The sequence below is a fragment of the Homo sapiens genome, chromosome 11 (assembly GCF_000001405.40).
Source record: "Homo sapiens chromosome 11, GRCh38.p14 Primary Assembly".
Lineage (NCBI taxonomy): Eukaryota > Metazoa > Chordata > Mammalia > Primates > Hominidae > Homo > Homo sapiens.
The window spans coordinates 83,532,978-83,545,149 of NC_000011.10; the positions used below are offsets into that span (position 1 = coordinate 83,532,978).

General features: G+C 39.8%; 1 protein-coding gene across 62 annotated transcripts in view; it reads right to left on the bottom strand.

The window, feature by feature from the left end:
• DLG2 (discs large MAGUK scaffold protein 2) overlaps nt 1-12,172 on the bottom strand; it is a 2,173,362-nt gene that overhangs the window by 77,966 nt on the left and 2,083,224 nt on the right. For 61 of the 62 annotated variants that reach the window (NR_165353.1, NM_001351274.2, XM_017017256.3 and 58 more), the window contains one exon: nt 8,705-8,881. The exons of the other annotated variant lie outside the window; for it this stretch is intronic. Coding sequence is in view for 60 of the 61 variants with exons in the window: in NM_001351274.2 (NP_001338203.1) it covers nt 8,705-8,881 (177 nt within the window). In the remaining variant the exon portion in view is untranslated. The remainder of the gene's footprint in view (nt 1-8,704; nt 8,882-12,172) is intronic. 62 annotated transcript variants of the gene reach the window in all.

Genomic DNA, 12,172 nt, shown 5'->3' on the forward strand with positions numbered 1-12,172 from the left:
TACTCCGATACGTATACTGAGAGTCACGTCATGGTATTTGTAAGCAACAGAGAGGTAGAAAAAAATAATATTTGCTATTTAAATGCTTAAATAATTAAATCAAAATCTATTTCAAATCTCAGTTCATAAAGATGAACACCTATATTGGAGACTAAACAAGTTTCTCCTCCCCTCTCCTCTTCTCTCCTCCCTTTTTCTTCTTTGTTTTTCCTTCTCTTCCCCTTAAGAACACTAGTGTATTTAGCTTCACTTTTTAACCAAACATGTTATATATAATCTTGAGCTTTCCTTTTCCCCAATGTCCTTCTGTCATCTCTGCAGATTCATTGTTTTCCTGCTACCTCATTTATTCATTAAACACTTAGTGACTGCCTACCATGTATCAAGCAAGGAGCTGGGGGACAAAGAAAAAATATTCTAAAAGCATGACTGCAATGAATTCTTAGCAAGAATGAATTTGGCAAGAACAGTGGTGTAAACAAACACAGAAAATGCTGTAGAACAAGATGGCTGATATCAATGTGGGAGCACCTATCTCACTGGGAGGGTGCAAAGGAGGAGTAGAAAGCATTAGGATGGGCTTCTTGGAGGAAATATCAATGTATCTGAGATTGAAGGATTAGAAAGAGTTTGTCAGTAGGGAAATTTCAGGGGGATTTTTCACAGAAGGAACAACACATTCCTCAACCTGAAGATATGAGTGAGCTACAAGATTGCAGAAAGATTCTAGTACAGGGTACATAGGGGATATATAGGATAGGGCAGTGAGGCTAGCGAGGTGACAGACTCCTTATAATGGGTATTCATCCACATTAAGGACTTGAGTTTTTTTCCTTGGGAATCATCATAAGCTCTTAGAGGATATGAAGCAGTGAAGTGATAAAATCAGATCAGCATTTAAATAAACAACCCTGGTCGAGGTGGAAGATAGACTGAAGGAGGGAAGGAGCAGAAGGAAGCTGGGGGCCTATTTAGAAGCTGTTGCCATAGTCCAGGTGAGAAATAATGAGAAATGATAGTGGGGTGGAGAAGAGGGAAAGGCTTGAGAAATATTAGGAAAATAAAATTGGGTGGACTCCCGCCTGTTTGAAGGCCAGGGTTGAAAAAGTGGAAAATAATCTAAATATTTCCTTGATTCTTCTGAGCCCCTCCAGTCAGACATGATTGCTCCTTTGTAACTGGAACAGTCTCCATGTCAGCACTACCTCTTGATTTCCTTGTGTTTACTTACATTTGCACTGCATATACAGGGTTGTATGTACCTTAAGGTAAAAGCCCACTTATCACTTGATGGTGTTTTATAGCAAGTCCTCAATAAATAATTGTCCAGCAAAAATAATATTCATTGCATTGTTTTAACATGACTTCTTGTTTAAATATTGCTAGCTTTAAATTTAAAGATGTGGGGGAAAAAAGAGAAAGAAAAAACCCGAACCTACAGAAACTTAATAGTTTATGGAGTCTAAGCTATTCATAGATCAATAATTAACAGCACACTCCTTTCTAACTGAGAGCTCTTTTGTGTTCCCAACTGAAACACAGTGAAGATCAGGGTTTCTATAGTTACAGAATGGAATTGCAGAATATATTTATTTCAGTGTGAGAGTAGAATATCTGAGTGGAAACAGCTGAACAAAATTTTTCAACTCTAACGTAATATATTAAAACAATGTAAGGCCGGGTGCGGTGGCTCACGCCTGTAATCCCAGCACTTTAGGAGGCTGAGGCAGGTGTGTATCACCTGAGGTCAGGAGTTCGAGACCCGCCTGGCCAACAGGGTGAAACCCTGTTTCTACTAAAAATACAAAAACAAAAATTAACCGGGTGTGTTGGCGGACACCTGTAATCCCAGCTACGCGGGAGGCTGAGGCAGGAGAGTCACTTGAACCCGGGAGGTGGAGGTTGCAGTGAGCCTAGATCATGCTATTGCACTCTAGCCTGGGTGACACAGCGAGACTTCGTCTCCCCCAAAAGTAAATAAATATAAATAAATAAATAATAAGTAAAACAATGTGTTCCACCAAGAGTTTCTACTTGCACCAGGCATACAACAGTTGGGGAGAAAGCAAGACAGATTTCAGATAAGATAAGCTGCCAAGTGGAAAATGCTCACTGATAAAATGCCTCCTTTGAGCTTCATCACTTCATCACCTTTTCTCGATTTTAATCCAAGGGCAAATGATAATTTATATTGATCTCTTTGTATTCTTCTAAAACTGTTGTTACAGCCCTAACTTTATTTCAGCTTCTTTGCATTAACTGGGCTATAGTCAATGCTTTGGCATCATTCAATGATGCCAAAATGGCTGTAGTATGCAGAGAATACATGGTTATTTGATCAGGGTATGCAAATAAATTCTGCATAAACCCACAGAACTCACACAGGTTCCAAACATACAGAATGTCAGGAGGAACTCAGTATTCAACTCTCAGAACTGTTTGGACAGAGCATTCTAATACTGTCCCCTGCCCTGCACCCCAACCCCATTTCTATGTTTATCCTTTTCAATTTTCTTGAGAAATGTCTCTGTTAGGAAGATTTTAATGGTTCATCCCTTAAATCTTAAAATGGTTGCAAAGAATATTAAGTCAGCCAGACACACACACAGACACACACACATACACTCACCTACCATTTGCTATAGTTTATTATTAATCTTCAAATGGGTAATAGAGAAAGTAAAAAAAAAAAATTGAAGCCATATGGAGGTCACATACTTCCAGTTCACCCATGAAGGAAGTTGAAAAGCTTTGCTTCCTATTTGGGTTGAAAGTTTCATTAATAATAATATAAGTGGCTGCTGAAGTTGCAACATATAATTATTAATAAAGTTCCTTCACATTTACATCATCTCATTTGGTCCCCACAACAACCTAAGGATTTAGGTATTATCAATCTCATTTTATAACTGAAGAAACTGAGACTTGAAGCTTGCCAGATCAGAAACTGGTAGAAACAGAGCCTGAACATACATTCTCTGACAGCTAACTTCAGTGTCTGTCCACAGCCACTCAGTTTGGGAAACAGCATTCAGGTACCTCCCAAGCCTGCATTATCCAAATTCTCAACAAACGTGAGATTTTTGGAGCAGCTTCCACAGTATGAAGGCACATACATATCCTTAGAAGTCTAGGCTGAGGTTTTCACAAATGATAACCAATGTACCCTTGCATCCCCATCTCCCTAATGTCCTGAATGCTATGAATATTATTAATTATTAAATAAACCACAACCAAATTTAAGCATACAATCGAGTTAGTAGCATACCACAAGAAGTTGACCTCAAAATTCAGAATAAATTTACTTTAAACATGGAAATCTGCTTAGTTAAATCCCTATTTGAGTTGATCCATCTCCTCAGCACACCAGCAACCCTAATAGTGCATTCCCATCACAGAGGCTTGCAGTACTGCTTCTTGGGGTTCTCTGCAAACCTCTTTCCTTGAGAGGGAGGCTATGTCTGTGGCTTAGCTTCCTCATCTGCCTCAGCCCTTTCCTCTCTCCTAGCTCTTTCTGGGATGCATGTGAATGATTTACTGTTGAAATGAGAGTTAAGTCTGGAAAATAGGGGTCTAAATAACGTGGTGTTTTTTTTTTTTTTTCTGGCAACTAAAGCTCAAATTTTGAAAAATGGAAAACAGCTATTATTGGAATGTACACTAAGTTTTAGAAACTGTGCTAAGCACTTCACCTATAATAGCTATAATCCAGGGGTTGACATGAGCTGGGTACATAGTAGATGCTTAATGAGACTTTGTTGAATGAGTAAATAAATAAACTCTCAAGGGGGCTACTAGTTCTTTACCTAATTGTGAAAACAATCAGGTCAGGGAGTTTAAGTGAATTGCTGAACAACCAGTTTTTCCCATAAAAAGTGATTTGCCATTTCACAACTTACTTTCCCGGTAAGAATCTAGGTAAAAGTCTAGCATCACTTTTTCTTATTGTTTTACTGAGTAAGACTTCTTTGGCTAGTAAATATTAAGGTCCAAAGGCTTTCACCTAAAGAAATTGTGGACCACCTGAAGAGACAGACCAAATCTCAATGACAACAACTGCCTTCCTTCCCCACTCACACTTAGACTCAAGCAATTAATTAGATTGTTTGAGCAGAAATAATCCTCCCTGTCCAAGTCTCATCACTGACCAAAATACCAAAAACATAAATGGAATGGCAAAATTTGAGCAATCAATTCTGACATTTCACATCTCTAGAGAGCACCAAATGGCCATGCTTTAATAAGCCCAACTGTCTTCCTCTCCCTCTCTCCCATCTGGTATTTTTAGGTTCTGGCCAAACCCATAATTGGGTCAGGCTTGGAGCATTGGACAGTGGGAACATCATTTGTCCTTCGGAGTTCCTATCCCTATGCTCCACAGGTCCTGTTGGAGGGAGAATTAGAATGTCACCCACATTAGTGGCCACAGGCTTGCTGTGACAGCTAGGTGAGTAAACTCTTATATAATGCCAGCCATATGCTGCCATCTGAGAGCCCAAGTGACCAGTCACTAGGGAACAATGAATAATCTCTTTGGCTTAAGAGAGCATGGGACAGCCAGGCGCGGTGGCTTATGCCTGTAATCCCAGCATTTTGGGAGGCCGAGGCGGGCAGATCACCAGAGATCAAGAGTTTGAGACCAGCCTGGCCAATGTGGTGAAATCTCGTCTCTCCTAAAAATACAAAAATTAGCCAGGCATGGTGGTGGGCATCTGTAATCCCAGCTACTCAGGAGGCTGAGGCAGGAGGATAGCTTGAACCCGGGAGGTGGAGGTTGCAGTGAGTTGGGATTGTACTCCGGCCTAGGCAACGAAAGTGAGACTCTGTCTCAAAAAAAAAAAAAAAAAAAAAAAAAAAAGAGAGAGAGAGATACCATGGAACAAAACCCAGCTTGGCCTCTTATACACTACATAATCTCAGAAAAGTGATTCTATGCTAAGAGTCCAGATTTTAAAGTCACACAAGCCTGGGTTTGAATTCTGCCTCTTCCACTTACTAGGTCTATAATTTAGGGTGGTCCTCAACCTCTTAGGATTTCAGATTTTGTGTTGATACAATTAGAATAGTAGCGCAGACTTCAAAAATTTATAATGAATGTTAAATGAGATAATACAAGAAAATTGTTTAGCACAATGTCTGATCTATAGTAATAACTCACTATACAAAAGGCTGCTACAAAGATGATTATGATAACGCTGCCCATAATGTCACTTCTCATTACTGGTCCCAGTTTCCTTACTTGTAAAAAGGAAGTAATACAGGTACCCTACTTCAGGTGCTCACTGCCAAGTCAGTCCCTTTATGCTAGGTGGGAGCAAGACATGGACTTCCATTTTTCTCTCTTAAAAGACCCTGCCACCAGACTTGAGAGCTGTAGGGCCAAGAAGAGCCCCAAACCTTTGCAGTTGCTCATAGAGACATCAGAAAGGCATGTGTTTGAATCTAGGCTTAGCCCTCTGCTGCCACTGTAATTTTGGCAAGCTACTTGAATTATCTGACTTTCTATTTCCTTCCTTGGCATATGCTCCTAGGGTAGTTTGTTCCTGGTGTAGTGTAAAGCCACCTGGCTTTGCTATCAAAGAGACTGGTGTTTGGTCAGTGGCTGGCTGTGTATTTTTGGGTAAGTTACTCGACTTCTCTGATCCTCAGTTTCCTTATGAGGTTTTTGTGTAGATTAAATTGAAATGATGTATTTGAAAGCACCTGGTGCAATACATGATCAGTGCTGTTATCAGATGGAATTCACTCTCTGTCTGCTGCCGTTTCACTTTCCTGGCCTTTACAATATAGCCTGCATTGCCCTAATCGCAGAGTAGCTGTGCCACAGTTACATGTTGGTCCCACAAGTGATGGGCTCCAGGTAGTGAACCAACAATAGTACGTGGCACTCAGATGCTGCCCAAGCAATGCTTGCTGAATTGAATTTTGCTAGCTCTTATTTTTGTATCTGTAGGGGGCAAGATTTCATATGTCTTAAGTGCAATTCTGTAGCCTGGATTCAAATTCCAGTTCTGCCACTTACTACACGGGCAATTTCAGGCACATTAATGAACCTCTCTGTGCCTCAATCTCCTCATTTGTAAAATAAGGATAATAACAGCAACTTACTCATAGGGTTCTAATGAGGTTTAAATAAATTAATAATTGTAAAGGGCTTACAACAGTGTCTAGCGTGCAACAGGAATGTTTTGTTCAATAAAATTTATTCACCATCTTCAGAAAAAAGGAGGGGGAAGGTGATAATATTCATACTCTTCATCTCATGGTTTCATTTGGGATGATTAAATGACATTATCAATAGAGAAACATTTTTGAAAAGGATATAAAGTCATACACTGATGTTATCCATTATAAGATTTAAAAAATTTTCCAGATCAGCACTACTAGGTAAATTATACTCAAGAAACAGGCTAGAAAGAAATTAATGATTGAAAAATAACATCAACCTAATAAATGTACGTTTTTAAATTACATTAAAATAAGTACATGGGTACTCTTTGTGGGGTAGAATTGTAAGTGATTTTTATGTTTTTCTAAATGTTCCCACCTTTCTACAATAAAAGGTATTACTTTTACAAATACTTAAAGGAATAAAAGTAACTATTTTGAAAATAATTAAAATCCTAAAAAGAAAATTTGGCAGAAATGTATTTACAGCTATACATTATATGTATATAATATATATTATATATATGAGGTGGAGCTACTGCACCCTTCATAAAAAGTAGAATGTAAATAAATATCAACCTTGCAGTCACTAATCAAACTTATTTTCCAGGTCAGCTATACTCTGGTTGTTAAGATGGTTCTCTTCCAAAATAAGAGAGAAATAGCTAATTCAAGAATGATTACCAGCAGGTGGAAAATTATTCAGGAGGAATAGCATTGAGAATGTTCTTCTGGAGAAAAATGATGAGCTAATTGAACAAACAAATGACTTGATAAGATTGGTTAGAATCATAGAACCTCAGGGTTGGAAAGAGTCAGAAAACTGTATAGTTCAACCCCTGTATCCAAAATTTGAATCCCTTTTCTATCTTCCCAGATAGTCCATGCCATCTTTAGGCAGCTCCAACTAGTGAGAGGATTTCTTTAAAATGACCTGACATCTATTTCCGCATAGCTTTCCTTCCTCCACCCCATTACTATCTTTGGGGCCATAATTCAACAAGATGGCTCTTTCTTCTAGAGAACAGCTCTTCAGACAGCTCAAAATAATTAAATCAAAGCAAACCAAAATGCACGTTGTCTTGACATTTTATTTGAAGTAAATGGAAATGGAGAGACCCGGAATATAAACAAGCCAGTGCTGAGTCAATGCTTTAAACATGTAACCTTTCAGAAAACACACACAGCCATTCTACAGTCAGAATGCCCTGGAAAAGCAATGTTAGGCAATTATCCAGGAGCCAAGAGGCTTAAAGAAACCCAGAGAACTCTGCTGGTGGGAGATCTATAGGCACTGGCATGGGGGAGGGAGAGGCTCCCTGGAATTTCGGCACCTTCACTGTGACTCCTCCTGGCTAAAGGTAAGAGAACAGCTGAGGACCAGTGAGCCCTCTGCTTTCCATGTCCCATTCTTTCCCAGGCTGTGCGACCACAGGCAGAGAGAAGAGAGGATCAGTTGTCTCGGGAGCACAAATACCCCACAGAGTTATTCTGAGGTTTAAGTTCCATCTCCCCATTATGGTTTGTACTAGCTCAATCACTTGATGTGTAGTAGCACTTGAATGCCCAGCTTCACTGGGAATATTTTACAAAGGCATTTTGGGTGTTTGGAGATGAGGATCAAAGCCCTTTGAGAAATCTGCAGCTTGAGAAAAGCTAGTGCCTGCTTTTATTAAGCATAATTCCTGACTGATTTTGTACTATATCTAGTCTCTGGGATACAGCCAATTTCTGTTTCTTGGACATCTTGGTGCCAAAGGGACATTTGTGAGAAGGAAAGTTCCTGTCTGGTGATGGATCTGCTGGGACAGATTAAGGAGTTGGCTGTTCTGAAGCACATTTCTGCTTTTCAAAAGCAGAGCTGAAGAAATGCTTGGAAGAGAAAGCATGATACTCTTGATTTAGGAAACACTTACACAGAACTAAATATCTTGGTGGCTATTGGAAGTTGTGAGGTGGGGAACAAGAGTAAAGAAAACAGTAAAAAAAGAAAAAAAATTGTAAACCCAGTCCTTAGACCTCACCAGATGTTTGACAGCTCACATCCCAAGCACCTGAATTTGAGATGAAGGTTTTCCATTTTTTTCTACTAATATTTGGAGATATCACACAGCCAGGACCTTAGCCTAGTAAATTGCCTACTTCATTTGCCTTCGACTTGGCCTTTCTATAACATTCATTGGTAAATGTTGAAACTCTGGAAATAAATGGACTGAATTTGTAAGTCGGCATATGAGCTGATAAGCACAAGTTTGCACATGCACACACTGGTAAAAGTTTTAGGAACACAGTGTAAGCTGATCCTCTTTCTTCCTTTATTTCTTGTCACAGTCACCAATTTTGGTAAAACCCTAATATAGGAAAAAGAGGATTTTTAATTCATGTCACCTGTCACCACTGACAATTTTCCTGCAGATTGACTATCCCATTTAAATAAATTTAATTTTGTGAACAGTTTCTCCCACCTTCTTCTTCCCTCATCTCCACTCGCTGGATAGCTGACAAGCAAATATTCTAGTACAAAAGGCATTCTTACCTCCTTTTGCTGGGGATGACCCCCATCTCCTCACTGTCTCCCTCCAGCATGACTCTCCTGGCTTGCCACCACTCATCATCAGAGGCATTGATAACGTGGAGAATATCTCCATATTTAAAACTAAGTCCTTGACTTGGCAGCCCACTGTCCTTGCTCTTGTCGTAGTCGAACATGGCTCTGGAGGAAAGGACAAAAGAGGACATTGTTAGGAATCTCTGGCAGCACAGATTTAGGATTTATGGTTTCAAATGTTTGCTCTTGCTCTGAGAACCTATCATCACTTGATATCAACTCCCGGAATGATTCCCTGGATCACAGTCCACACTCTCACTGCTTTGGCAACACACTAAAGTTAGTTCTTGCTTCTTCTTGGAGGTTACAGGGGTGGCCTATAGATTCCCCCAAACTGAGATCTGCTTCTTTTCTTGGAGACCATCAGATGTTAGAAGGTGATAATAGAAGATAAGAAAGGTACTTTACTACCTAGTTGAGATTTTTTTCCCCTCCCATTACAATCAAATTTTTAAAATTACTAAAAAAAGTAAAATAATAAAGAGAAACATGGCTATATTTCTAAATGAAGCATTTTGTACTGTAAACAAATCATCTCAGATGTATCAGCCTGTAGAACTGTTTCTTTTATAATGGGAAAAAATGGTAACAAATGTCCACCCATAGTAGGCGGTGATTCCTCCACTCAATGAAATATTGGACCACCACTGCAACTGGATGAAGAGGTTAATGTAATCACCTGAATACATGCTTAAAATGCAGTAAATTAAAAAATCTATGCGTATGTGTGTGTATGGATAGACAAAAATCATATAAACAACACGACAAATATTTGTGCTTCCATACGATGCCTAGCTTACCTCATCATGGCACTTATCTGTGAATTACAATTGCTTTCTGTATCATGCTGCCCCCACTAAAAAGCATTTGCTAAGCATTTGTTAAGGCCAATGCACTGTAATATGTATGAGTGGCAGCATGAGGGAGGTGGAATCAGAATCAAAATGATGAACCAGACCTTAGAAACTAGCTGTCATCATTAAGAGGTGAACATTTGCCACCACTCCTATATTGTCCACATCCTGCTGTATATCCCATTTTCAAAAATCACCACCCCACACATACAGCATATGACTTTCCCAGAGAAGCAGATTTCACTACCTGTCTATCTATTCCCCTTTGATTTCATTCTAAGAATTTCCTTAGAGTATAACCACTATGTATGCAAAACTAGCAAGATCTGGGGAACAGATTTTTCTAAAAAATTTGTTTTATTTTAGATTTTTCCACACTGAGGACCAAGTGTGGTTTCTTCTTCTTTTTTTTGCCCATCAAAGAAATGTCACATCTGCTGCCATGGCAACAAGAAAGAGCTGAAGACAGCATCTAGAGCTCTCAAACACAGCAGGAAAAGTATAATTAATTGCAACGTAGTCCCTTCTTTCATTAACACTGTCTCCCAGAGATGGAATTTGGAGAGGGTTTCTTGGTCCAAGCTCCCGGAATGAATCATTTTCACCTTGACCACCCCTGCCAAAGGCTCAGACAAAGTACCAGTCAGGAACAGGGAGCTGGGGAAAGGCCAATGCCCACTCCTGAAGCTATCACTTCTTTGATCCTGTGATGTGACATATATTAGTTAACATTCTTGAGCCACAGGTTTTTTGATGCAAAATTAGTCTAGTAACAACATTCACCTAGATTTACTGTGATCCTTAATGAAATAACACATATGCAGCATTAAGCCTATAGTATGTGCAGTCTAGTGTATTACAGTGTGGTTATGAATATGGACTACTGGGTCCATGTCCTGCTCCTACTATGTCTTAGTCTTACAGCTAGTCAGCTGGGCAAGTTACTTAGTCTCTTTCAGGCTTCAGTTTCCTCATATACAACATAGTGATAATGATGACAATGATGATAGCAATACCTCCATTATGGAGTTGCTGTATGGGTAAAATGTTACATAAGGTAATATATATAAAGCATGTACAAATGGACCTGGCACACAGTGACAAATAGTAAGTATGAACTAATGTTATTATTATTATCTCCCTTTTTCCTTTTGGGTAGAGGCTAATACAAATCTTTTCTATAGATTCTACTCTGTGCAAAAAGGAGTTAATGTAGCAGGCCTGAGACTGCTGTTCTTGCTTGTAAGGGTGGCCCTTGGCTGACATCTGGAAAGTTAGATTTTGGGAGGGTTCCCACCATTTTCTCATAAGAATGGCTTACTGTGCCTAAACTGTTTGTACAAACAATATCATTTATACTGAACACCTGCTTTCTTTCTGGGAGTCTGATATTCTGGTATGTGCTAGGCAGAGGCTGCCTACATGACCAGCCCCCAGTAAACCTGGACATTGAGTCTCTAATAAGATTCCCTGGTAGATAACATTTCGCACCTGTTGTCGCAATTTGTTGCTGGAAGAATTAGGCACTTCCTGTGTGACACTACTGAGAGAGGACTCTCGGAAACTTGCAGCTAATTTTTTCCAGACTTTGTCCTATGGTCCTGCTCCCTTATCTGACAGTTTCATATCTTTTTGTGGTAATAAATCATAATCATGAGCATGATCATGCTGAGTCCTGTGAACTATCCTAGTGAGTCATCAACCTGGGAGTTGTCTTGGGGAACCCCAACACACTCTCTATAGATTGCAAAGCATTTTCACAAAAGTTACCTTATTGTGACTCAATCAGTTGCTGTGAAGAAGGTATGACAGACATAGTACTATCCTCCCCACTTTTTTTTGTTGTTGTTAAAAGATGAGGGACAGATCTAGTGGGGCCCACTGACTAACTCCAGAATATATAGCTTAGTGGCAGCAACCTAGGACCAGAACTTGGGTCTCCAGATCCAAGTCTAGTTCAGTGCTCTTCACCTTGCCCCCTCATTCATCCTGGGAGGTGGTGATGATAAGGTGTTGAAGATGATAACCATGATGGCTACTACTACTTACGCCCTTATTAGGTGGTCTGGCACTTCATAGTCATCGTCTTATTTGATGTCACAGCAACCCTAAAGGTAAAAATTAGTATCCCCACTTTATAGATGAGGGAAGGAGGCTCAGGAAGTTAAGGAGCCTGGCCCAGGTCACACATACACATGTGGTGGAGGTTGAATATAAAATGAGGTGTATCTGACTCCAAAATCTGCTTCCTTAGCCATTTTATTATGTGGCTCAATTTCCCCACTTGTTGCCCTCTGGCCATGCTCACGATCTAGCAGTGCCAAAGACTTTTAACCTTCCCTTCAGGGCTGACAACTGCTTCTTCCCTAAATTCCTGAAACTCCCTTACTGCTCAGTCCTTGTCCAAGTATTTCTTATCCCCAAAGTCCTTGAACTGCTGGCCTGACTCCAGGCTCCTTCTGGATGTAAACTATGGGGAGTTGAGGTAGAGAAACCATCAGAAAGGCTAACAAGTAGTAGCCAAGGAGGCAGGCTCTGGAGC